Source organism: Homo sapiens, chromosome 1, assembly GCF_000001405.40.
Source record: "Homo sapiens chromosome 1, GRCh38.p14 Primary Assembly".
NCBI lineage: Eukaryota > Metazoa > Chordata > Mammalia > Primates > Hominidae > Homo > Homo sapiens.
This window is the reverse complement of record NC_000001.11, coordinates 29,323,793-29,350,984: the sequence shown is the minus strand read 5'-3', so window position 1 is coordinate 29,350,984 and position 27,192 is coordinate 29,323,793. Positions and strand designations below refer to the sequence as shown.

General features: G+C 49.6%; 1 protein-coding gene and 1 long non-coding RNA gene across 5 annotated transcripts in view, besides 3 other annotated features; one reads left to right on the top strand and one right to left on the bottom strand.

Moving 5' to 3' along the window:
• Positions 1 to 870: 870 nt before the first annotated feature.
• LINC01756 (long intergenic non-protein coding RNA 1756) lies at positions 871 to 21,365 on the top strand. The gene is made up of 3 exons (NR_110758.1): positions 871 to 1,302; positions 17,677 to 17,819; positions 19,793 to 21,365. It is a non-coding gene; the product is annotated as a long intergenic non-protein coding RNA 1756 (long non-coding RNA).
• PTPRU (protein tyrosine phosphatase receptor type U) overlaps positions 24,185 to 27,192 on the bottom strand; it is a 90,279-nt gene continuing 87,271 nt past the window's right edge. For all 4 annotated transcript variants that reach the window (NM_005704.5, NM_133177.4, NM_133178.4 and 1 more), the window contains 2 exons: positions 25,659 to 25,794; positions 24,185 to 25,386 (listed from right to left, as the gene is read on the bottom strand). In NM_005704.5, the coding sequence (NP_005695.3) occupies positions 25,324 to 25,386; positions 25,659 to 25,794 (199 nt within the window). In that variant the 3' untranslated portion in view covers positions 24,185 to 25,323. The remainder of the gene's footprint in view (positions 25,387 to 25,658; positions 25,795 to 27,192) is intronic.
• Positions 24,994 to 25,288: a silencer, noted in NCBI's record as "tiled region #8387; K562 Repressive non-DNase unmatched - State 7:EnhWF". NCBI's record gives its function as "represses a minimal TATA promoter and a strong SV40 promoter by Sharpr-MPRA in K562 cells {active_cell/tissue: K562}" and the evidence as "EXISTENCE:reporter gene assay evidence [ECO:0000049][PMID:27701403]".
• Positions 24,994 to 26,023: a biological region, named in NCBI's record as "Sharpr-MPRA regulatory region 8387".
• Positions 25,218 to 26,023: an enhancer, noted in NCBI's record as "H3K27ac-H3K4me1 hESC enhancer chr1:29651474-29652279 (GRCh37/hg19 assembly coordinates)". NCBI's record gives its function as "activates a minimal SCP1, AML or CMV promoter by ChIP-STARR-seq in naive H9 embryonic stem cells {active_cell/tissue: H9 hESC(naive)}" and the evidence as "EXISTENCE:reporter gene assay evidence [ECO:0000049][PMID:30033119]".

Sequence of the window (27,192 nt, the reverse complement as noted above, 5' to 3'; positions counted from 1 at the left end):
ACCACTGGAGCTCCATTTCTATGGCTTGAGGCTTTGCCATTTGTTAAAATGCAAACAACTTCAAAGAAGTCATGTCTTCAACAGAAACTTATTTTCATTAATTCAACAAATATTGAGTTCTTTCTTTAAACCAGGCAGTACCCAGAGTCTGAGAACAGAGAAATTAATTAAGTCCTATCCAGAGCCAAACCTTCAAGGAACTGGCAAGCTCTGCGCCGATAGCAGGTAGAAAGTAGGGGCAGGGATGCCATAAGGAAAGCTGACCATAATGGTGTTGGAAATGATGGTGGGAGCGAGGTGCTGTGGGAATCCCCGGCAGAGATTATTCATTTCAAAATTGCAAAAGGTGAAGCTTGACCTGGGATCTAAAAGATAAGGAGGGTAGAGATTAGGGGCTGAGAATCCCGGATGGAGGGCACAGCAAGGGCAAATGAATGGAGTCATGAGCCAGTATGGATGAGGGGGGCTCCATTCCACTAAGCAGAGGGCTTGGCCATAAGGCAGGACACGAAGACAGGGCTGGAGCAGCGGGGGGAGTTCTGATTGACTGGATCATATTAATGATCTCAGGCAATGGCGATGGCGACTATCTCAGGGCTTTGTTTGCCTCCCCAGCCTCCATGTCAGCACTTCCCACCAAATCGACAGACCCTCCCTCAGGGAACTACCCTGTCCTCTCAACACGTGCCCTGAACGACCCACCCTCAGCTCCAGGGCCGGGTTCTGATTGGCCTAAGCCGTGGGGCTAGCCTATCTTGCTGGATAAAGTGATTGGTTCAGGAAATGGCACATGACCCAGTTCAGACCAATGAAAGGCGAGGAGATGTTCGCTGGGGTTTCTGGGAAAGAGGAGTTGTCCCTCTCTTCAGAGGGACGTCCCGGAAGCGACTGGCTCTTTTTTTCTGGTCGCTGCAGAGTGAGGGTGTGACGGGCCAGCAAGGACAGCAACAGTCGAGGAGAAAGGAGAGAATGCCAGAGAGATGGAGCCCAAACCTGAACCCAGGATCAAAGGGCAACTGAGTAGCACTCGCTCTGGAGTTCTCGGTCGGCTGCGCCGCTGACTTGCCAAATTTGCCTAAGCCCGTTTGTTGGTGTTTGCAGGTCCTAACTGATGCGGTGCCATTTTTCAAGTACAGAATTGGATAAGCGTTGGAGACAGGGAGCAGCCAGCAGGTGCAAGCACTTCTGTGGATCCAGTCCCTTTCCTTCTGATTCTGTCTCCGTGTACACTTCGTATCACAAATCAGGGTCTTGCCCTGGAAAACATCTCCCGACCCCTCTTGCTGGCCTGGCACCTGCACAGTAAGTCCTGGTCGGGCAGCCCGAGTGTCAGGAACCCTGGGCTCTGTCCCAACCCTGTCTGCTGTCTGGCTGTGGGACCTGGGCTGATTTATGCCCACTCTCTGGGCTAAATTTGTGATTCATCCACCAGCCCATAGACTGTGAACTCCCCGAGGAAAAGGGCGATGTCCAACCCATCCATGTGGCCCCCAAGCCCAGGACAGGCCTGGCATACAGCAGGTGTCCATGGAGCTGTTGACCAGTGTGGGAGTGGCACCTTCCTGCTCTAACCTCCCAGGATCAGGGCCATTCATGATGCTGACAGGGACAGCTGCAATTCCTTCTGTCCACCCCAACAGCCTCCTGGAGGCCCCAGCCCGATGCTAGAGCAGCAGGAAATCTCACCGGAAGAGATTTCACACGGAGGCTTTGAGGCAGAGGCCTCAGTTCGCACACAGCCTCTATCTCTGTTGAAGGTTCACTGAGCCACAATTAGACTATAGGGTGAGGAAAATCCCCCAAAGCCTCGACCCTTTCTTTACTCTCCAGCTGCAGCTGTCCTGGGCAAGATTTGAAACTCCTTAGTTCATTGGTGTCTGTGGCAGGGGTGAGGGAGGAAGAGCAATGATGAGGAGCCCATGTTATAAGACAAGAATCAAAAAGAGAAACAAGGCTGGGCACGGTGGCTCACGCCTGTAGTCCCAGCACTTTGGGAGGCCGAGGCGGGTGGATCACTTGAGGTCAGGAGTTTGAGACCAGCCTGGCCAACATGGCAAAACCCTGTCTCTATTAAAAATACAAAAATTAGTCAGACATGGTGGTGCTCACTTGTAGTCCCAGCTACTCTGGAGGCTAAGGCAGGCGAATCACTTGAACCTAGGAGGCAAAAGTTGCAGTGAGCCGAGATCATGCCACTGCACTCCAGCCTGGAAGACAGAGGGAGACCCTGTCAAAAAAAAGAAAGAAAGAGAGAGAGAGAAGAAGGAAGGAAGGAAGGAGAAAGAGAGAGGAAGGAAGGAAGGGGAGAGAGAGAGAAAAGGAAAAAGAAAAAAGAGAGAAAGAAAGGAGAGAAAAAAAGGAAGGAAGGAAGGAGAGAGAAAGAAAAAAGAAAAAGAAAGAGAGAAGAAAAAGAAAAGAAATGGGCCGGGCAAGGTGGCTCATGCCTGTAATCCCAGCACTTTGGGAGGCCAAGGCAGGCGGATCATGAGGTCAGGGGTTCGAGACCAGCCTGGCCAACATGGTGAAACTACATCTCTACTAAAAATACAAAAATTAGCTAGACGTGGTGGCAGGTGCCTGTAATCCCAGCTACTCAGGAGGCTGAGGCAGGAGAATCGTTTGAACCTGGGAGGCAGAGGTTGCAGTGAGCCGAGATTGCGCCATTGTACTACAGCCTGGGTGACAGGGCGAGACTCTATCTCAAAAAAAGAAAAGAAACAAATCCATGGTGTTCGGCTAATGTTTATTCCTTAACAACAGCAGAACCACTCCTCTGCCGTATTGGGTGGCGTGGGCTGAACCTCAGATTGTTCAGAGGATGAGGACCTGTGTGTCTGTATTCATAGGCAGGAGCAGAGAAGGCAGGGGTGGAAAGACCCACTTTCTCCCATGGGGAGAGGGTTCAGTCTAAAGAGAACTGGAGGTGGGTCAGGGGCTCAAAGCAACCCTGTTGTTATGTGTAGGGAGTTTGAGAGGGGAGAGTAAATCTTGTGTGACATGTGAGGGTGGGCAGGGATGAAAATAGAGGAGGAAAATGAGGAAGTGGTGGATGATGATTGGGAAAAGTTAGGAGCCAGAACATAAAATGTTGAATTCCAAGTTAAGGATCTTGGCCTTCACTCCATGGGCAGTGTACCTCACACCACACACCCCAGAAGAATTTTGGCAGTGTGCCCAGAGATACATGAAGCCATAAGATGGGTATAGGACATCCTCCCTCTGTGTGGAAAATGCCCATTATTTTATATTTTATATTAAAACAATCATGGATATATCACAGAGGGCAAAATATGCATGGCTTTGAAATATTAGATTGGAGAATTTAAAGAACCTATGAGCCTGTGGCTGGAGTAGACGAAGCCCTGTCTGGATGCAGACCTCTCAGTAACCTGGGTGTCCCCATGTCCTAATGCTATTAGCAGGAAGCTCCCAGTTTCTCTTTCCCAAACTTATCAAAATGGAACCTCAGCCTCCTCCATTACTGGGAGGGAAGAAATTGGGGGCGGGGATAGGGGGCTGTCCATGATGCTAAAACTGGATTAACCCATTTCCACAGATGAGCTCTGACCTTAAAGTTTCTATTCTGTCTTCACCTTCTGGAAGCTAGATGAAGGAGGGTGGCTCGGGGAGACCCCAGGAAGCTGAGTACTCCAAGGGCTAGGGAAGTAATAATCCTCAGGGCAAGGGAGGGCTGGATAGTAGAGGACCTAGAGGAACAAGATTAGGACAATTATCATGTGTAGCATTTACAGGTCCTAGGAAAAATATTTTCTTGAGTTTGGAGACTATCTCTGCTTCCTAAGAACCATTCAATGTTCTGGAAGTGAGCCCTGAAAATGGTCCCTTAGGAAAATAGTTGCTAGGTCCTCCTCTTTGTGTGTGTGGGTGTGTATCTGTGTGTGTAGTTGCTTCTGTATGCATGTGTATGGCTTACTATGCATGTAATAGACTCTGTGTGTGATAATGCATAGCTCATATTAAAACAACTGGCATCTCATAATTCAATTCCTCAGAAGGAAAAATCTAGGACAAATATTTAGCTGGTATTTTATCCCAATTCAAAAATGTGTACATCCTGAGTTGTCTCATCTCCACCCACAGCCCTGTAGTCACAACCACCCAGGTAGCATCTGCTAAGAAGAGAAAGCTCCAGTCTCCAAGTGCAGGGATGGGGGTGCCTATCTTGGTGGGGGCTGAGGGGAAAGCCTGCAAGGATTTCACAGTTCCAGGGAGATGGAAAGCCTGCAGCTCAGCACAGCCAACCTGGGCTTGCAGACATGGTCTCTAGCCAAACTTCTTGTCTGGCCCATCATGACTAAAGGGAAGGGGCCCGCACCCCAAGTGTCTATACCCATCCGTCTAGGGCTGCTCTGTTCCCCAGTCTTGCTGGGCCTTACAGGCCTGGGAGCATCCAGCCTTCAGACATGGTGTTAGCCAATTCAGAGCTTTGGCTGCAGACAGAGGTGGGTTGGAGTCCAAGCTCCACTACTCACCCATTGTGGGACTGAGGGCGTGTTGTTTCAGCTGCTGCACCTCATTTGCTGTGGACCCCAGTGCGTGCCCCAGTGTGGCTGCCCCACAGTCAGTGATCCCTCACTGTGGATCGCCCTCTCTGTCTCCCTAACAGGAGACATGACAGTCATTTGTTCATGGGTTCTCCATGTACATTTCTTCCTGAGTGATCTATTGACATGAAATTGGCCTTCAGCTTTTTTTTTTTTTTTTTTTTTTTGAGACAGAGTCTCGCTCTATCCCTCAGGCTGGAGTCCAATGGTGTGATCTCGGTTCACTGCAACCTCTGCTTCCCAGGTTCAAGTGATTCTCCTGCCTCAGCCTCCTGAGTAGCTGGAATTACAGGTGCCCACCACCACGCCTGGCTAATTTTTGTATTTTTAGTAGAGATGGGGTTTCACCATGTTGGCCAGGCTGGTCTTGAACTCCTGATCTCAGGTGATCCACCCACCTCGGCCTCCCAAAGTGCTGGGATTACAGGTGTGAGCCACTGCACCCGGCCTCAGCTTCTTATATATTTATCAGTTTAGCCACCGTTAATACATAAACTGTTGTCCTCACAGTAAAATTTGTTAACTGCATTCCTTTGCATGTGTGATTTGGGCTTCTGTGCCTCTTCAGACTTCTCTCAACTTGGACAAATCCATCTGCTCCTCTGCATGAACAAGCCGTCTTACCTTCCAGTGGGATGGGTTTTCCAGACTCTCCCAGAACACACACATTTGTAGATTTACAGCTCCTTTTCCCACTTCTGCTGCCACTCTAGCTACTGCATATTGAGGACTTGCTCCTGGCCAGGCATAGTACTGAATGCTTTGCCAAGATTATCTCTAAGAAATGGGCACCGTTCTTATCCCCATTTTACAGATGTGAAAACTGAAGTTTAGAACAGTTGAATGATTAGCCCAAAGTCCCCCAAATACTGAGCGGTGGAGCCAGCCTTTGATTTTAGATTTTTCTGATTCTAGAGCCCACAATTTCTGCTTGCATTTTGTACCATAGAATGGAAACAGTCCTCCTCCAAATGTTCCACTGTCTCCTTCTGTCTTTCTTTTCCTCCTCATCCTCTCCCACCTCCTCCTTTTCTTCTCACCCTCCTCTTCTTCCTCCCCATTTCTCTGTAAGCCTCTTCTTTCTCTCTTTCCCTTCCCCAGATATTTGCCCCCAACCCAGCACTGCCAAACCTTTGTAGCCAGGATGTTTAAGAGCTGAGATTCCATGTCACCTGCTGGGACAGAAAGGGGAATATGGCTTCAGAGACACCCCTACATTATGGGAGGAAGGATGGCCAAGGCCTCCAGACTTACAACCCACCCTGAGGCCCCTCCCCTAGCTCAGAGCTGTGTGCCTGGGAAAAGACACGTTGGTTTCTCCTTCACTTCTAGCAGCTCAAGGAAGGACCATCCCTGTCCTCAGCATCCCATCACTGCAGGTGTGTGGGTGACGATAACACTGTTCCCAGGTTTACTTTCACACAGTGTGCCAAGGAGTTTCTCCTGGACCTCACGTGATCCTCACATCATCCTGGGAAGTGGAGCATTATGCCCCTTGAATGGGGAAACTCAGGTCACACAGGAAGGTAGGGGCAGAACCAGCATCAGATCCCAGAGTCTCTCATTCCCAGATCAGCATCTGTAACAAAAGGGCAGGCCCAACCTGTGAGTTGGTCACGATGTCGGTTGTTTTAGTTTTTATTTCAGCACGAGTCTCACCTGCCAGCTCCTCAGAGCCGTGGGAGAGGGTGGGGCCAGAGCTGTCTGGATTCAGCTCAGGGCCCCAGGTCTGCCACTGGCTCAGTGTGTGTGACCTTGGGCAAGCGCTCCTTTGCCTCAGTTTGCCACAGGCCTGTTTTCTCATCTGTAAAATGGTCCTTTATGGGACCAGGGTGCTGAGTTTGACTCCCTGGCGATCTGTGCTAGGAGCATCCTGTTCCCCTGGGGCTTCGGGGCTGGACGTAGCCTGTACAGCCGCTTGGCTCCACAGCAGCTGTTTCACTTCCTCAGCGAGGATTGTAATTCCTCCTGCTGGAAACTGGGTCCATGCGTTTGGCTTGAATACGTTGATTTGTCAAAATTACCATTTCCTGGGGCTGCTCACATCAGAAGCAGCAGGTGGTTCTTCCGTGTGCTTCAGAAAGCACCCCAGAGTCCAGCTGGGACAAATCCATCCCTCCAAAGCGACATCTGCTGGAAGGCAGCACTGAATTATGTCGCATTATAACAGCATTTCACTGGGTTCCTGTGACCTTTATTTAGCCAGAGCCGGAATCTCCTACCGAGGGGCCCGCTCCCCTGTCTGGGGACTTTTCCTGGCCTGCACCAGGCAGACTGCATCATAGCAGGTAGGACGGGGGTCAGGGTGAGGGGTTCTGGGCCAGGCAGGGGTGGGCAGAGATAGGCCCCCTTGGCGGAGAGGAGAAGGCGGGGTTGAGAGGACCACATCCATGGGACAGTTCTCTCCGCGGGGCTGGTCACCCACCATGGGTGGCCCTGGAGACTCCTATCCCCTTCATCCATTCCTTTTCTCACTCACTCAGTAAACATTTCTTGGCCACTGATGTGCCAGGGTGACATGCCAGGTTAAGGGGACACAGAGGTAGGGAAGAGCTTGCTTTTATCTCAGGGACTCACAGTCTGGAACAAGAGACAGAAACTCTGTGTCAAGAAACAATAACAGGCATCAGGGAACAGGAGGAGGGAGCAGTTAACTCCCTCCAGGGTTAGGGGGACAGGGGTGTGTCTCAGGGTGGCTGCCCCAAAGGGTGCTCTTTTTGAAGCACATGGATGAACCACCTGTTGCTTCCAATGTGAGCAACCCCAGGAAATGGTCATTTCAACAGCTTGCCCTGAGTCAAGGGCCCCAGTGCTGATAGTTTATCTGAGAGGGGAACCCTCTCAGATAAAGTGTGGAAATGGAACGACTAAGTGGGGAAAAGAGAAAAGTCAGTGAAGCATGAACTAAGCACTAGGCAGTGGGTTACAGCGACGGCAGCTTCGGGGCTCAGTCCTGCTGGGGAGCCTCTGAGGCCTGCGTGGAAGATGCCCCCAGAGCCCACTCTCATGACTCAAGGGGTAGTGGGCACTGTTCACCACCTCTCGAGGCATTAACTCCTCCTGTCCCCTGTACTCCTAGCTGACACCTGCCACACAGACAAGCAAGTTCTCCAGGTGCCAGAGAGAGAAAGAGATGCAGGCATTTGAGGTGGGAAGCTGTCAGCATGCTCAGAACTGTCTGTAACTGCAGAACTCAGAGTGCCAAGGGGAGGGGGACACCAACCACATCTGTTACAGCATCTTAGGAAAGCTGACATCTGAGCTGGGTTTGAAGGTGAGTAGGAGGTTTGCAGCTGGAGCAAGCAGGGTGAGTGGCTCATCTGGGCAGTACAAACAGTATGTGGATGGGAGGGGAAGAAATGAAAGTGGCTCGAGGGGCCAGAAGATTTCAAGAAAGGAATTTATTTTAAAATTAAGTATGGGGGAGATTGAGCAGGCTTTATGCAGGGAAGTCAGGGGTGCTGACAAATGCCGGGGGAAGTGGGGACAGAGAGAGAGAACGCTATAGGGACAATGTCCCGCAAAGGCAGAAAGGAATCAGTCCGGAAGGTGGAAACGGACTGGCCCTCAACCAGAGGAGAGAGTCTGTCCTGAGATAGTTAAGAGTCCTCTTCCCAAGCGGGCTGAGAACAGGTTCAGGAGAGAAGGGAGTATTTGAGAAAGTCAGGTCACTACTGGGAGTGAAAAAGCTGATGGTGGGACTAGGGGAGAACTTAAGAAAGGTGGAGGATCTGAATAGTCCTTGAAGGGAAGGGCGGTTGGAGCAGATGACAGGGAGGTGGCAGAAACGATGGGTGATGCTGGAGCCCGCTGACGTTGGCAATCACCCCTTGGCGATGTTGCCAGTACTCACTAAGTGCAGTTTTCTCAGCAGCTTCTCAGCAGCTCAGAACAGGAGTTGAGAAAGCAGATGGCTGCCTTGGCAAGTGGCTGGGGATTGGTAAGGCAGGGAGGCGAGAGGAGAATGTCAGCCACCTGCAGGCACAGAATTCCTCGGGGAAGGTTTCACTGGCTTTCCATTGCCTTCCTACCCTTGGACCTGGGAGAAGAATGGGGAAGGGTTGAAAAGACCAGGGCTAGGGGTTTCAGTGCCTAGGCTCTCATCCAAGCTCTGCTGCTCACTTTCTGTGTGACCCTGGGCAAGCCACCTCCCCTTGTAAGACCCCTCTTTCTATACCTATTAATTCAGGACTTCTCATCCTCAGCACTACTGACATTGCAGGCCAGATAATTTCTTGTTGAGGGGCCAAGGCGGGGGCTGTCCCATGTATTGTAGGATATTTAGCAGCATCGCTGGCCTCTACCCACTAGATGTCAGTAGCAAAACCACATTGTGATAACCAAATGGTCCCTGGGAAGCAAAATTGCCCCCAGTTAAGAAGCACTGTATTAATCAGAATAACGATAATACAACTGGAATAATAATGTAAGTGGAATAATAATGACAAGATCTATCCAGCCAAGCCGTAAGAAGAAGGGTTGTCATGAGGATCACAGAACATCATGGAAATTGAGGTGAGGAGAAAGCCTTTGCAGGTCATTAGAGCAGCTTGGATGGAAGTAGGCATCTGACACAACTTCTCCTCACTTTCCCCACCTGTAAAGGACATAGGTTAGAAGCTGAGCTGGGCCTAGAACCCAGGCATCCTGATTCCCAGCTCTAGGCTTTGGCCTTTCTGCAAGGCATGCTGGGAAGATGCCACATCCTCATCTTCACCATGTTCACACAGAAACTGGGACTTTCCAAGACGGATCTGAAGGAGGCAGAGGTGAAGAGAAAGGCCAAGAGGAGAGCAAGGGGGAGGCCAAATCTTCATCTCAAATCTGATTAAGATGGAGACAGCAAGGAGGCCAGATGCCAGGGTGGAGAGTATGTGAATAGAGACCATTCAGAAGACAGAGACCACACCAGTAACCTAAACATGGAAAATGTAATGTAAAGAACTGTTCATGAGGCTGGGCGCGGTGGCTCACACCTGTAATCCCAGCACTTTGGGAGGCCGAGGTGGGTGGATCACCTGAGGTCAGGAGCTCAAGACCAGCCTGACCAATATGGTGAAACCCCATCTCTACTAAAAATACCAAACTTAGCTGGGCATGGTGGTGTGTGCCTGTGGTCCCAGCTACTGGGGAGGCTGAGACAGGAGAATTGCTTGAACCTGAGAGGCAGAGGTTACAGTAAGCCAAGATCACGCCACTGCACTCCAGCCTGGGCAACAGAGAGAGACTCCATCTCAAAAAACAAAACAAAACAAAAAAAAAAAAAACAAAGAAATGCCATCCATCTCTATAGCCTTTCAATACCCCTCCACTGCCCTCTATTGACAGAGATTAACATTGCACCAGCCTGCAAACAAATGTTTATAGGGTCCAGCTCCAGTAACACAAAGCAGGACACAGAAGGGTGGACTTGAGAAACAATTGGTGGAACCATCACAGTCCTTGCCTTTGACGAATCAGCTTCCATATATATCTACTACACACTTTTAAACTTCCCTTCACAACAAGGCAACTCTGTGTTTCCACCTAAGGAGATGCAGTTATCCCTTGTACACATAAGGAAGTTCCCACCCTTGCCTCAAAATAAGGAGACACGTAGTTCCAACATCATTCACCCCTTGCTGGCTATATGAACAACTCCTCAAAATCAGCACAGTCACACTGAATATTCTGTTTCCTAAAGGCCATATGGTAAAGTTAACCTCCAATAACTGGTATATAAATAACAATGGGGAGAACACATGAACACAAAGAAGGGAACAACAGACACCCAGGCCTGCTTGAGGGTGGAGGCTGGGAGGAGGGTAAGGATCAAAAAACTACCTATTGGGTACCATGCTTATTACCTGGGTGACAAAATAATCTGTATACCAAATCCCTGCGACGCATAATTTACCCATGTAACAAACCTGCACATGTAACCCCTGAACCTGAAATAATAGTTGGAAAGAAAAATAGGCCAGGCACAGTGTCTCACACCTGTAATCCCAGCACTTTGGGAGGCCAAGGCGGGTGGATCACGAGGTCAGGAGATCGAGACCATCCTGGCTAACACAGTGAAACCCCGTCTCTACTAAAAATACAAAAAATTAGCCCGGCGTGGTGGCACACTCCTGTAGTCCCAGCTACTTGGGAGGCTGAGGCAGGAGAATCACTTGAACCCAGGAGGCGGAGGTTGCAGTGAGCCTAGATCGCGCCACTGCACTCCAGCCTGGGTGACAGAGCAAGACTCTGTCTCAAAAAAAAAAAAAAAGAAAAAGAATAATACCAACGGGAAGAAGGAGAAGGAAACAATTAACATAGTCATAAATATATACACATAACAATAAATGAGAAAATATGCAAAGCTACTCTAGTCCTCATTTCTGTAACTGACCACAAGGCCATAATTTATATCTATGATTTCCTTCTTCCACTACCCATTCCGAATCTTCCCTACCCTCAACCAGAACCTCAGCTAGTTGGGGTTTTTTTTTTACCAGGAAGAGAAAGTCAAAACTTCATTCTTGAATGATAGGAGCCCTCAATTATCCTGCCTTTTTTGGATTGATGAAGTTCTCCATTAACCTGTACAGTTGGGCTTGGAAGTACTAAGAGGCACACCCGCAGAATCCCCTTAGTTCCAGACATAGCCCTCCTGTCCCCATCGTGTAGAAGCAATCCAATTTTTCCGTGGAAACCAGGATCAATCATTCCATCCAAAAGAGTAACCCTTTTATCGGCCTGTTTGATAGGTGACGTAAGAACCCCAAATGGCTAGAGGCAGTCTCATCCTTCCATTCATTGGAACCAACGTTGTGTCCTCTAGGATTCCCCCCATCCTTGCCTTAGGAACAAAGATATCCAAGCCAGCAGAGTTCAAATTTGCAAAGACAAGAAGCAAACATTCTCCAAGTGGGTGATTAAGAATAATAATGAGAGGAGCCTGTACCAGTTGCCATTTATTGCTTCTGAGTTCCAAATCCACCCCTCATGGCCTGCTTGTGAAACTAGAACGTTTTCTCTTGCAAGTTGGCATGGTGTTGATTTTGTCAATAGATGGCACTGGCAGGATGTTGGACACTCTGATTCCAGAGTACTTGGCTTCTTCTTGCATTCGGTGGTGTGCAGGACACTCAGTAGAGCACACCGCTGGTGATAGCAGCAGCCCTCCCATATCTGGCTTCTCAAAGGCAGGATCTATAGAAGCCCCAGCTCACTTCCACTCATCTTCCCAAAAATGGCTTCCTATCCTCCCACCCCAAATACTCTGAGAAACTTCTTGGCAGCCAGTGCTCCAGCTGGCTTCCCAGCAAGTTCAACAGAAACCCTCACAGGCAGCTTCTGAATTTCATCAGCATCTCAGCAGGCATGCCCACTAACCTTAGCCCACTGTGGGGAAAAGCAAGAGAGATCAGATTGTTACTGTGTCTGTGTAGAAAGAAGTAGGCATAGGAGACTCCATTTTGTTCTGTACTAAGACAAATTCTTCTGCCTTGAGATTCTGTTAATCTATGACCTTACCCCCAACCCCGTGCTCTCTGAAACATGTGCTGTGTCAAACTCAGGGTTAAATGGATTAAGGGCTGTGCAAGATGTGCTTTGTTAAACAGATGCTTGAAGGCAGCATGCCCCTTAAGAGTCATCACCACTCCCTAATCTCAAGTACCCAGGGACACAAAAACTGCGGAAGGCCGCAGGGAACTCTGCCTAGGAAAGCCAGGTATTGTCCAAGGTTTCTCCCCATGTGATAGTCTGAAATATGGCCTCGTGGGAAGGGAAAGACCTGACCATCCCCCAGCCCGACACCCGTAAAGGGTCTGTGCTGAGGAGGATTAGTATAAGAGGAAGGCATGCCTCTTGCAGTTGAGACAAGAGGAAGGCATCTCTCTCCTGCCCGTCCCTGGGCAATGGAATGTCTCGGTATAAAACCCGATTGTACGTTCCATCTACTGAGATAGGGAAAAACCGCCTTAGGGCTGGAGGTGGGACAGGCGGGCAGCAATACTGCTTTGTAAAGCATTGAGATGTTTATGTGTATGCATATCTAAAAGCACAGCACTTGATTCTTTACCTTGTCTATGACGCAAAGACCTTTGTTCACGTGTTTGCCTGCTGACCCTCTCCCCACTATTGTCTTGTGACCCTGACACATCCCCCTCTCGGAGAAACACCGACGAATGAATAAATACTAAGGGAACTCAGAGGCTGGCGGGATCCTCCATATGCTGAACGCTGGTTCCCCGGGTCCCCTTATTTCTTTCTCTATACTTTGTCTCTGTTTCTTTTTCTTTTCCAAGTCTCTCGTCCCACCTAACGAGAAACACCCACAGGTGTGGAGGGGCAACCCACCCCTTCAGCCCACCATGAGACCATCTCTGGGCTGACAATCCAGTGAAATTTTCTACCATCCAATAGGCTGCAACTACACCCTCCTCAAGGGTCTGAATCCCAGCTGTGGAGAGGATCCTCTCTTCCTTCTAAGTTTTGGGCCTTGTACATTCTCCTTCACTTTAGTGGTATTCTTTAGAGTTCTCTTTTATTCCCCCTTAGTTAATCTCATATGTTTTCTGTATCTTGATTGAAAATTGACTGACATAGAACCACTCCCACTTCCACCCCTGATTAATGGACCCAGGTATTCTAACAACAAGGAAGGTAGCACTATACAATGGTGCCTGATTCAAAGCATATATTGCATCCTTTCAGGGAATGTCTCCCAAGTGGTGCCATACCTGAGCCTTCAGTAAGCCATTCCATCTTTTAATTAGACCGTTCACTTCCAGGTGATGAGTGATGTGGTAAGACCAGTTAATTCCATGGGAATCAGCCCACTTTTACATTTCCTTTGTTGTGAAATGAATTCCTTGGGAAGAGGCAATTCTGTGTACTATACCATGATAGTGGGTGAGACATTCTATGAGTACATAGATGGTGGCAGGGACAAAAGAATCACAGGCAGGGACATCAAATATATCTCCAGATAATGATTCTATTTCAATAAGGAAGAATCTATGCCCCCTACATGATGGGAGATGTACAATGAAATCAAGATGAAACCTGGTAGATGACCAGTCTATCCAGGGAATGGTGGCATACTGTGGGCTCATGTTGGTCTCTTCCGTCAGAAGATTGAGCACCCAGCAGTGGCAGTATCCAAAGAAGTCCTTAGGAAAGGGATGTTCATGTTTTTAAGCCCAGGCATATCTTCCATCCCTGCCACTACAGCCACTTTACTCATGGGCCCATTGGACAAGCATAGGGACAGAGGAATAAAGAGGTTAACTGATCATCACAAAGCATGTTATATTGCTCACCTACTTATTGAAAGCCTCCTCTGCAGTGGATGCCCTTTAGCAAACATTCACATGGGACACAAATCTTCACAGTCTATGCCCATTCTGAGAAGCCCATCCACATGACTCTTCTGCAGAATTCCCCCTCTTCCATCTTCCAGTCCTGTTTCTTCCAAGTCTCTGACCAACCAGCCAAACCATACCATTAACAACTGCTCATAAATCAGTGTAGAGCCATACTCTGGCTATCTCTTATTCCAGAATGGACAACCAAATATACTGCTTATAAGATTTTCCCTCACCACTGTATTTCAAGGTCACCCTAATGGGGCTGTGATACCTCAGTCTTCTGTTTTGGTTGGTATATCGGACAGCACCATCTGTAAACCAGGCTTGAGTTTTCATTGTTCAGCAACTGGTCATAAGGAGCTCCCCACGAGGCCATAGGCATGATTTGAGGGGGACAAGGCAATGCGGCAGAAGTTGATGAGAAAGGAGTTTGAACTACTAATTCATACAACTTACTCATACCTTCCAGGCTTGCCCAAGTGAGGTCTCTTTAATAGCATTCTCATTTGATGATAGATTGCTGCCACACAAAGCTAACCTTATAACTAGTTGCGTCAATAGAATCTCAATTAGGAATCTTAGGCTGCATGGTCACTTGATGTCCCAGTTAGGCACCCAGTCTCTACCACAGTCCAATAGCAAGCTAGAAGCTATTTCTCAGGGGGGAAAAAAGTAGTGTCTGAATAAACAGGAATAGATTTACTTTAGAATCCTAAAAGTTTGCATTGTGATTCCCCTTTAGGGGCTTAGCTGTGACTCCATACAGCATCCCTACCTGCTGTGGACAATTTGAGAATCACTGGATCTACTGGATCATTCAAGTGGTAGAGAAACTTTTTCTGAAGCCTTAATTTGCTGCAGAACCTCCTTGACTCAAGACTGGAAGCCTTATGGAGATTTTTGCTCATGAGTCAAAGTTACACACGCAAATGTGACATATGTTGCCTCTAAAATCCAAAATGCTTACCAAGTGCTGTGCCTCTTTTTTAGCAGTATGTAATGTGCAGCAACTTGACTTTCACCTTGGAGAGACATATCAACATGTTCCAGACCACTGAACCTCAGAAACTACCGAGACAGCAGACCTCTGAAATTTTGTGGGATTTATTTACCACCCTGACATTCACATATGTTGTACTTGCTACTGCCTGTTCATCAGGCATAATCAGCTCATCATCAATGTAGTACACCAGTGCAATGCTTTGTAGAATGTCAAAATGATCATATTATCTGTAGACTATATAATAGGAGAAAGCAAGAGAAATTGACTTGGTTCTGAGGCAAGACTGTGAATGTGTACTGTTGGCCCTTCCAGGTAAAAGCAAACTGTTTTTGATAGTCCTCACTAATTGGTACAGAGAAAAATGCAGTAGATGGGTGAACAGCTGCATACCAAAGTGGTATACTGAGTTGCTCCAGTAAAGATGCTCTATCTGGGGCAGCAGCTGCAATTGGTGTTACCACCTAATGAAATATACAATAATATAGTCATTCTCCAAAACCCTTCCAACCTCTGCATAGGTCAAATAGGCAAGTTAAATGGGGATGGGATAGGAATCACCACCCCTGCATATTTCAAGGCTTCATGAATCTCTGAAATTTCCCCGCGGATATGGAAGTGCTTCCAATTTGCTATCATGGCAAAGAGAGGAAGTTCCAGAAACTTCTATTTAGGCCCTTTCTTCCATGATGGATCTCATTCCATAAGACAAAGACCCAAAATGGGGTCTCTTCCCAGTGAGAGTATGCCAATTTCACTTATACATTCAGAAACTGGGGGAATGTCCAACTGAACACATTTGGGCTAAATATCTATCACCTGATGATCTAAGTCAAGACTTTGAATGGTGGACCACAGTGGCATTTTGCAACCCCAGGAATTATCATAAATTCAGAGTCAATGTCTAGTAATCCCCCAAAGGACTGGGTACTTTCTTTCCCCAAATGCAGTCATTCTAGTAAGTGGCCACAGGTCCCCTTGGAGAAGGCTTGGAGGAAGTTTGGTTTTTTTTAATTATTTTTATTTCAAATGTTTTGGGGGCACAAGTCGTTTTTGGTTACATGGATAAATTCCTTAGTGGTGATTTCTGAGATTTTAGTGCACCCATCACCCAAGTAGTGTACACACACCCAATATGTAGTCTTTTGTCCCTCGCACCCCCCAAACCTTCCCCACTGAGTCCCCAAAGTCCATTATATCATTCTTACACCTTTGTATCCTCATAGCTTAGCTCCCACTTATAAGTGAGAACATACAATATTTGGTTTTCCATTCCTGAGTTACTTCACTTAGAATAAGGCAGGCATGGAGGAAGACTTATGGTATATACTTATAGCACTACTGCAAGAATCTTCTTCAAAGGGTCTGGCATCCTCCTAAATCAAGATGGTCTGATCTGTGAATTGCTTTAGGTCTAGAAACTGGATGAGAAGCCGTAACTGCAACAGTCATTCCAGTCGGGTTTTGGGCACCAGTGCTAGAGTTGTGTTTGTTCATTTGTTTTTCTGTGATACAGATCAAGCAGTGCTTTAGTAGGCTATCTGTCTATTTCCTTTCTAGGGACAAAGTGGTCAATTAGTCACCACCAAAGATCCCTATGGGCCAAGGCATTCTAATTACAGGCACATCCCTGCTGCCCTTTATGGCGCATCATCCATATTGTCTTTGGTTATTAAGCAATTCCACTTAGCCTCTGCAGCTCCAGGATGCTATCGTCCCCATGAAATCAAGAAGTTCACAGGAATGATAGCATAATCTATGGTAATAACTGGACTATGAAGGTGAACATCCACAGAGTTTCTTAAGGATGAAGGTTCTCCTCTCAATAATATATTTCTCAGTGCCTTAGTTAAGAAGGTGTCTTCCGAGAATTTTCATGGAACATAGTTTGCAGGGGTGGTTGTGCAGGTCACACATGATAAATTCACTCCAACATCCTATCTCCTTAAGCCTTTGGACTCCCTCTTCCACATTATGCCATGGAACCTCTGGCATTTCAATTTCATTAAATGTAAGCCACCTTCAAGTCCAAGTTTCAGTCAACCAACTGAGTAAACTGTTAGAGCGAACTTCAGTTGCACAACTTAACACATTAAATACCAAATCCACATCCATGAATTCAGAATTATTACCTTCCACCCTTAGAATCAGCTCCCATAAATATTCCCTGAATTATGTAAAATCTTGCCATTAGCAAAATCTTGCCTTTCTTCTGTTGTGTTGCCTCGTTCTGCATCACAGTGAGTACCTGTCCCCTTGGAGCATGCTGAGATTTGACCCTTGTTATGGATCTAGTGGTAACAAAGCGTGCTTGTGGCATCTCCTGAGGATAATGGTCATGCTATCTCAAGGCATCTGCCCCATATGAGGTTATCTCCGCATTTTCAAACAAAGGAAAACTAACCTCCTCAGATACAAGAGGGGAAGATATTTCCATTGGCAAGGGAGGCTCAGAGGGCCTCAGGGAATCAGGATTCTCCATTTTATCTGAGTCCAACCAGATGTCCCTATTCCAAGTTTCAAGATCACATTCTTCCCTGATTTATACCCAAACTTTCACATGAAAAACTTGTGATGCTATAAATTTAACTGACATTTAAATTCTGCCACCCACACAATTAAATTTTGTGTTTGGTTTTGAGCAATATCAGCCCTGTGGCTACATGAAATATGAGATTCTTTTACGGATGACATGGAAGCTCTGTGGTCCTCAAACTATGATTTGAGCTGAGAATTAAATAACCTCAACTTGTCTTTTCTTTTCTAGTAAGTGCTCCAGTGCATGCAAGATTCATCCCACACCACAGTCCTTGCGGGCATCATTACTGGTGTAATCATGGTCAGGTGCAGGAGTCACCTGAGTTCCCAAGACACTTGCTCCAGTTGGCATTGCACCAAAATCCATTACAGGTGATAGCAACATTATGGTGCCATTATGCTGTAGATTACAAGCATCCCATTCCCACTGGCAAGGAACTCAGCATTGTGCTCCAGCCCAAAGGCACAATGAAACCTATCAAAATCTCATCTTTGCGGGTCTGTCACCTGGGACCATTCCTGCTCTCAATTCCTTATCAATTAGGATCCAGTCAGGAGACAGAGCTCACACCCATAATCTGAACGTGGAAATTTTAATATAAAGAATTATTATCTAACAAAGGATAGTTAATTACTAAAAAGGGTAAAAGAACACTCTATGAGACCCAGAAGCAGCACGTGCAAAAAAGTAGCTACTGTTTCTAGGCTGAGGGAAAGTGAATAATGAAGGAAATAGGGCCTCAGGAGAAGGTGTTCCCCCTGACTCAGACCTCCTCTATGAGTGAGTGATGACCATGAGAACATGCAGCCTCCAGTGGCTAAGAAACCTGCCAGGGAAAGTAAGCTGGCTCAGTCTGTGGACATGGCCGTCTTTGTGGGAACCTGATCCCACATGGGTTCAGGCTGGTGTCAAGTGTGAGTAGGGCTGGTCTATAGAATCGATGTCCAGGTGGAGAGAGTGAAGCCTGATGGTTCTTTCCTGTTATACAGAAAAGACGTTTGGAGCTGGTCCACACAGGCCACTGAGATGATAGCACTGGGCCTTGGCTCCTGTGCTGGAAACAAAAAGATGGAAGGAGGACCAGAACCTGGAAGGGAAGTGCCTTCCCGCTGCAGAGGGACCTTACAGTGTCCCTCTAGCGCCCTCTCCTGACAAAGCCTAACATTGCTCTAGCTGGCACAAGAGAACTGTTCACAGGGTCCAGCTCCAGTATTACAAAGCAGGGCAACGAAGGATGTATTTGGAGCTCAGAGACAATAAATTAAGAACTGTCATGGGCGAGAGAGGCAGACATGGAAGGGAGCAAAGGGTTGATTGGGGAAGAGGCTAGAAGGGGAAGAGTTGCTATGCCTTTTGTAGGGAAAGGAGCATGCATGGGCTGGAGCCCTGGGGAGCAATCCCAGCCCTCTTCAAAGAGAGAATGCAGTCACAGAATAAACACAGCTCAAGAAAGCCACATTGTTCCACTTTCAAAAGAATAGAAAATAAAATTCCTGGACAGGTTCCCTCTTCCCACTTCTGGGAGTAAGTAGGGAGTGGGTTGAGATACATTTCATTTTTCTTCAAAAGGCTTTCTCAGCTCCTGCTGACTCAGGCCACCTCCACCCTCTGCAGATTCAAGACATTCAATTGTCCAGTCACTGGCTTTTGCTGCAGGCCTACTAGATGCCCAGCCCTGAGCCCTGTTTGACTGTGGGCCTCAGCTAAGCCTGTTTGTGGCTGTGGCTGAGCCTAGCTTGAGTGAGTGTTGAAAGGGCAGACTGGTTCACGGACAAGAGAAACTTCCAGCAGTTAATGTGGTTCAGGTTTAGATCTGCCAGTATTTCTCCAATGATTATAAGAGCAATGGTTTGGAGTCAAGTGACATGGCTTTTAATTCTGTCTTGGCTCTTTTCTAGCTGTGTAGCCTTAAGCAATTCACCTCAGCTCTCTGAGCCTCTTTCCTCATATATCAAATTGTTTTGGTAACATCTGTCTCTCAGGATTTCTGGGAAGATTAGGGACAATGTCCACATTAGGTATAATGCAAGGACCTGCCAAAGTAGGTACAGAGGTCCATCAGACCAAAGCTCAGACTACACCCAAGATTTCATCAGGCTCAGAAAGCAGATGCTTAGGCCAGTGGCCTGGGCACTAATGAGCAATGCCAGCCCCATTGTCTCTGAGGGATGTTGAGCCCATTGCTCTTCAAACAGGGATGCATTAAGAGATTAAACACAGCCCAAGACAGCCACATTATTCACTTTGAAATGAGCAGAAAATGACATTTCTGGTCAGGGTCCCTCTTCCCATCCCAGGGAGAGAGTAGGAGGTGAGCTTAGACGAGTTTCCTTTTTCTTGAAAGGCGTTCTCAGCTCCTGCGCTCCCGCTGACTCAGGCCACCCTCACGGTGAGAATGCAGCAGACTAGGATGATCAGGCAGTGTTTCAAGCCGGCCCTGGACCTGGAGAGGCTGTTGATGGTGAGGCACAGTGGAGATGAGCCCAGCTAGGGCAGGGTTGGGAGAGCAGCCTGGCTGAGGGTTGAGAGCAGCCTCAAGCAGCTGGTGTGGTGCAGGCATAGACTGGCTGTTGTTTGCATGAGCACCGGCTTTGGAGTCAGTCCCAAGTTCTAGTCCAGAGACTGAATCTTTTCTAGCTGTGACATTGAGAGCTCTGCCCTCATTTCTCTGAGCTTCAGCTTTCTTGCCTGCTAAATGGGCTTGGTGATACCCACCTCTCAGGATGCTGGGGAGATTAGGAACAGTCTGTATTAGGGACAATGCACAGCAGTCACTATTGTGATCACCAGGACCAGCCAGGGTGGGGGTGCAGGCCCATCAGACTAAAGTCAGTGTAAAGCCACCAGCCTCAGACACCCGATGCTTAGGCCAATGGCCTGGACCCCACTGAGCAATGTCAGCCCCATTGTCTGAGGGATGTTGAACCTGATGCTGTCCTACTTAGAATGAGCTCCTAGAAAGCACCTAGCTCTGCCTCCTCATGGACAAATCAGGAGACTGAGCCCCAGATGTTTGCTCAATGCCACACAGCATGGTGGTAGCTGAGCCAGCATTGGAACCCAGCCTCATGACTTCAAGCCATGTGGTCATCCAAGGACTAAAAATTATGTGCTTAAGAGTATAGGCTTTGGAGCCAGACAGACCTGAGCTCCAGTCCCAGCTCTGCAACTTTCATTCATTCAACAAATACTCGTTGAGTTCTTGTCATGTGCCAGGCACCATGCCCAGTGCAACAGACACAGGAGGACAAGACCTACATGGCCCTGGCCTCTCGCTGCTCAGTCTGGTGAGAAGAAATACCCAGTGAATGAACAAGCTCATCACCCACTGTGAGAAAGCAGCAAGGCACAGACACAGGATGGGCCCTGAAAGACACAGGGACAGTGGGTGCTGGAGGGCCACTCAGGGCATTCAGGGAGGGCATCTCAGGAAGGGGACATCTGATCTGGGAACTGGACACCAGGCAAGAGCCAGGTATGCAGGACCGGAGAAGGGTGTCCATGCAAAGAGCTCAGAATGATGGGGGAAGAAGAGCCTGGAGTGCGCAGGAGCGTGCAGGAGGGACGTGGACAGACAGGGTAGAGCCAGGACAGGTGGGCCTCAGAGGTCATGGTCAGGAGCACAGTGCTCATGCACACAGCAGCAGGAGGCACTGGAGGGTTTGAGCAGGTGAGTGATGGGATCTGGCCTGTTTTTTCAAACGATCACACTGGTTGCTGTTGTTTGTGTGACCTTGTTGGCTCTCTGACCTGGGGCAAGTTGCTTAAGCTCTCTAAGCCTCAGTCTCCTCATCTGTAAAATGGCGATGATCATAGTACCTACCTCACAGGTGGAACTGGAGACTGACATATGACAGTCTACAGAGAGCACTGAGCAATGTGCATTTCAGTGCCGAATAAAGCTTTGCTTTCTTACATCCCCACGTCCAAAGCCCTCATCCTCTACCTGCTGGCCATTCATTGCCTGACTTGAACCTGTTGATCCTGCCTATGCAATGACTCCATTATTTCTGCACTGCCCTTAGCCATGGGGATGTTGAGGCCAAAGCTCATTAAGCTCCTGTCCATCAGAGGTCACCGGGGCAGGGGGAGGTCCATGGAGCCCAGGGAGAGAGATTGGCCAGGCCCTGCTCCCAATGAGGGCCTTGCAAGTGGCCTTGGCATCCATCAATGTCACGGCTCCATCTCCTGGGTGCCTGGGATATATAATGCATCTCAATCAGGGGCTGAGAGAGGTTGTGTGAAGTAATCATTGCTTTCGCTGACTCCTACAGCCAGATTTATTATGGTATAAAGAAACAACTTAGCTTCTGGCAGTAACAGGCAGCTGGCCTAGCTGCACTTGTAGAAATCTTATTTGCTGGGGCCTGGGTGGGTGGAGGTTTCTACCCACACTTGCTCAGCCAGAGGCCCTGGACAGAACCCGGCTGGACCATTCATCTTCCTGTGCTCCTGGCCACCTTGTCTGAGAGGCCGCCACCTTGTCTGAGAGGCCGCCACCTCTGACACATTTCACAGCATTTGAAAAGCAGTGCTTAGGCCACAAATTCCCCATCTGGTATTACACCGAGGGGATCCTTAGGCTTTTGGGCCAGGGAGGCCACAGAGCAGAGCAGTTAAAGGCCCAGGTGTTGGAGTCAGCCTAAACATGGGTTCAAGTCCCTGCTCTGCCATATAGTGGCCAGGTGACCTTGGGTGAGTAAACTCACTTCCCTGAGCCTCCATGTCTTGTCTCTAAAATGGAGGGGTAGGAATCCCCCCTTTAAAGAGCTGCTGTATGGAGTAAGGAAGAGCCAAAGGGTGTAGGACACATAACACAGGAATAGGCACTAGATGAAAGGTGATCGTCACCATTTTCATTATCCAGGGGCTTCAGTATTATGGCGTGAGATGCCCTTTATTGAGGGTCAATTATGTCACCAGGGAGTATGCTGGTTCCTTTTAAATATTTTGTCCCTAGACCTCACAACCAATCCTGCAGGTAGGTCCTGTTATGTTTATTGCAGGGTTGTTAGGGGATTGTGCAAGGTCACCCGACTGTGGGTTGTGGAGCTGGGGGCGGGACTATGGGTTCTGGAGCTGGTGCTCCTCCTAATACAGAGCCCACCTCCCCAGCTTCTCTGAGAGGCCACACAAGGCCCCTGGTCAGTCGGGCAGGCAAGTCCAACCTCTCCTTCCTTCCCTCCCTCGTGCCAACATTTCCAGGGCACTAGCTCCATGACAAGCCCCTTACTGGGCAATGGACACAAGATGGCACAGAAATACTCCCTGCCCTTGAGGAGCCAGCACCGAACAGAGCAAAGGGCCGAGCCGCATCCAGACTGCTCCGCACGCGTGTGTATCAGTTAGCAAAAACTAACTGTGTATGTAACAAGTGATTTCAACAGACTGTCTTCAAAAAAAAAAACCATTTATCATCTCTCCCAGTTCTAGGGGTTGGTTGGGCAGTGTCTTCTAAGCTTAGCCATGTGGCTACACTTACCTGACAGGTCAGCTAGACTGGAAGGTTCAAGACAGCCTCACTCACAGCCTGGGAGTTGCTACTGACTGTTCATGGCACGCGCTGGTTCTCCTCTGTGTGCCCTCAAATCATCCGGTAGGTGAGACAGCTTCCCTTGTATAGCAGAGTTCCAGAAGAGCAAAAGCAAAAACTGCAAGGCCTCATGAGACCTGGGATCCAGAACTCACACGCCATCACTTCTGCCCATGCTATTGGCCAAAGCAAGTCATATTCTATCGCTTGGCCAGTACCCGTGACACACATTTGTGATGCATCGCGTAAGGCTCAGAGGTCAGCTCAGAATGAGGATGAGGGGGTCAGTCTGTGCCCTATCCAAGTGTGATCCTAACTGGCCAATTAATTTTTAACTCAGATTAAAGTATGCTGAATTGTGAGGTCATTAGAATGGGTTGTATCCTCTGACCAATGGAGAAACTGAGGCACAGAGGGTCAGCCAGTGTGCAAACAGAATGAGTACATCATAGAGTCAGCCTTCATATGAAGAAACTGAGTTCCAGAAACAGGAATTGTCTTGTCCAAGGTCAGGCAGCAAGCCTGTGACAGAGTCAGGAGTGACCCAGGTCCCTACCAGCCAGCCTGCTCCTCCTCCCTCTCTACCCCATGGAGGCGGCTGGGGCTGGGAATGGGCTGGGCTGGGGCAATGGGACGGTCATCCCCAGCAGGGCTGTGTCTCCTCTGCCCCCATCTCTGCGATGTTTGTAAAGTAAGCCCTTTCAACACGCTTGGCACTACATAAGGCACTTAATCATTACCTCATCTGATCCAAACAGGACTGTCCCCACTTTACAGATGATAAAGTAGGCCCCAGAGAGGGCACTAACTTGCCCAGGGTCTCGCAGCTGCTGGGCCCATCTGCCTGACACCAAAGCCTGAGCCTCCCATGCTGCCCCAGAAAGAGCTGAACCTGATCCAGGGCCCCCAGTGGAGTGAGAGGCAGCTCTGTGGCCCTCAGGGATCTCGAGTTGATATACCCTACCTGAGGAACTGCTTCAGAGGCCTGGATGGGGACAGCAATGGCCAGGGTCCCTTGGAACCAACTCTGAAAGTGGAAGGACCCTGAGTGATGTCCTGGTCCACACTCCCACCATTTTACGAATGGAAAAACCAGGACCAGATCAGAACCCAGGCTTCTCCAGGGCCCTCCCACTGCACTGGAGGCTGGGGGCAGGTGAGCAGGCCCCGTCAGGCTGGTGAGACACACACAGGGCTGCTCTGTGGCATTCAGAGAGCACGTTTATTTACAAAGCGCTTTACAAACATCAGCTTATGCCTCCCCACAGCCCCCTGCGAGGTAGGTCAGTAGTCATATCTACAGTTTACAGATGGGGAAATTGAGGCACGGAATGGGGGTGTGGCCTGCCCCATTTTAAAGAGACCTTCCCACCCACCCAACCAAAAATAACAAAAGAAACAAAAAAGCACTGGTCCTACCTCTTCCTCTGAACTCCAGAGGGTATGACCAGCCCTGCTCTAACACTGCCCCTCCCCACAACGGGCAGCCTGACCAGGAGCCACAGGGGCCTCAACCCCAGGGGCTGTTGTTCAGCCTTGCAGATTGTCACTGGCCCAAGCTGAGCAGGACAGGCCAGTGAGGCCTGAAGATTAAAGGAAGAGGGGGGCGAGGTGACTTCATTCTGCAACAGTGGGTCAGGCAGGGAAGGAGCCCCCCATGGGGCACAGCAGTAATAGGCAGATCCTGGTTCAGGGAAGCTCAGAGCACATATCAGGGAAGCAAGTGGGGAGGGATAGTGAGCAAAATATCTCAGGGGCTGCAGGGGGCAGTGGGGAGGAGGGCGCTGCAGTTCCCCTGGGGAGGACAGTCAGTGTGCCCCACTGGCTATTCAGAATTGAGACCTGCTTCCCCAGGACCTTCAGGGGCTGGGCCAGATGGAATCCTAAATGCCAAGTCCCAGTACATCCTCTACCCACATGCAGAGGGGGCAGGCTGAGTGGGAACCTTGGCCTGGGATGCTCTCTGCAGGGCCTCACTCATCCCTGCCAAAAGCCAGGATGGTGCCAAGGGGCTTGGCCTGAGTCCCCCAGAGCCAGCCGTCCTGAGCCTTTGTCACTCTGCCAGGCAGCACCAGGCCTCTCAGCACAGGCCTGCAGGACCCTATGGAGGTGGGGCTGGGCTGCAGACTTGCTAAGCTCCTCCTTGGCCCACCACCCGCCCATGGGACAAGCGAAAGGCCCTGCCCACAGTGGAAGGGGGAGCAAGATAGCCCAGCATCCACTCCAGTGCTTGCCCCATGGGAGTGTGTTTGGGCAGAGCAGGAGGCACTGATCTTCCTCGCCAGTCCAGGATGGTGGGTCTGGCCCTGAGTGTGCAGTGGGTGCCCCAGGCCAGGGCCCCGCTATCTTGACTCCAGCCCCTCCAAGTACTCCAGGGCCACATCGTAGCAAAAGTGGTACTGATCCTGGGGAGAGGAAGAGAGGGAGGGAATCATGAGCCTGACCCCAACTCCAGTATTGTGGGGGGAGGGGAACGGGGAGTGAGAGGGCAAGCACGAGCCCGAGCCCAGGCCCGCCCTCGGGGAGAAGGGAGAAATGGGGGTAATGTTTTAGGACCACAGGGCTAGAACCAAGGCCCAGTGGTGGGGCCCAGATATGGGAGAGTGGGTGCTAAGGAACCTGGCCTGGCATGGACCAGGAAGGTGGAAGTGGCTGGGCACGGGACACAGCCCCTCACCATGGTCTCCACCATGTTGGGTTTGTAGTTCCGGAGGGTTTTGGCAGCAAAGAAAACGTCCACCAAGTTGTGGCAGCGGATCATCTCCAGGACCGTGGCGCAGGCGCAGAAGGTGCCGCTGCGTCCTCCCCCGTTTCTGAATGAGAGATGCAAAAGCTGAGGGGCGGGGCCTTGGAACCTGAAGGTAAGAAAAGGGCCAGGGAACCACGAGGGAGGGGCAGAGAGCCTAGAGGAGAGGGACGGAGCTAGGGAATCTAGAAGGGTGGGGCAGAGAGCCCAGAGGTGAGGGGCGGAGTTAGAGAACACAGAAAGGAGGGGCCCGAGAGCCTAGAGGAGAGGGGCGGAGCTAGGGAACCCAGAAGGAAGAGGCCAAAGAGCCCAGAGATGAGGGGCAGAGCTAGGAAACCCAGAAAGGAGGGGCCAAAGAGTCCAGAGGTGAGGGGCGGGGCTAGGAAACTAAGGAGGGCCAAAGAGCCCAAGGTGAGGGGCAGAACTAGGGAACTCAGAAGGGCGGGGCAGAGGACCCAGAGGTAAGGGGCGGGGCTAGGGAACCCAGAGGGAGGAGCAGGACCAGGTTAAGAAGGATCAGAGGCTAAGACATCTCAGAAGACATATTCTCAAGGCGAAACAGACTGCGGATTCTGAGAGAAAGGAGGCCAGACACACTCCAAGAGAAACACCCGGAGAGACAAAGACAGTGACAAAGAAGGGCGGAGGAGCAGCAAGCGCGTACCCAGAGAGCAAGGTGGAACAGGAATGCTGAGAAGACTGGTCACCACCTGGCATCGTGGGCACACAGGCACAAACGTACCCAAACCCCAAGTCAAACCCACAGCCTCCCACAGAGCTCCATCCCCTCCGTGCCTCTCCCTCCTTCCCTGTGACTCCACGTGTGGGGTGCCTCCTGGGGAATGGCAGACTGATGCGGCCCTCACTCCCCTTCTCAGGGGTCTTTCCCACCAGAACCAAAACCCCTGGGGGCCAGACCCGGACTGACTCAGCTCCGCACCAGCTTCCAGTAGGCCCAGCCTGCCACTCGAAAGGCTCAGTAAATGCTGAAAGCATGAAAAAGTGGGGAGCAAAGGAGTGACTGCACCCAGACATGAGTGAATACATGAACTTATGAATGGGGCATGCAGATGGATGGATGGATGGATGGGTGGATGGATGGATGGATGGAAAAAGTCACATGTGTGCATGCATGAACAAAGACTGGAATTCTATTGGCATAAAAGTGTGCCACAATCTCATGGGGTAAAAAATTCTGACCAAGGACTCTAATTAAATTGGCAAAGTCAGACATCACACAGAGGATACTGGGCAGTTGTTCAGGGCTGAGTCTATAGCCTGGAAACTCACTGGATTCCTCCAGGGCCAGCCTTGGCTGGTTGGGCAGCATCCTGGCCACAGCCATCTAAGAGCCCAGGGGTTTCGGTGCCAGCTTTGCAGTCCAGCCAAAGCTGGCACCCTTTCAGACTGGACCTCTGCCCCTGGCTCCCCAACCCCTCCACCCGCCCTCCCACAGGGCAGGTAC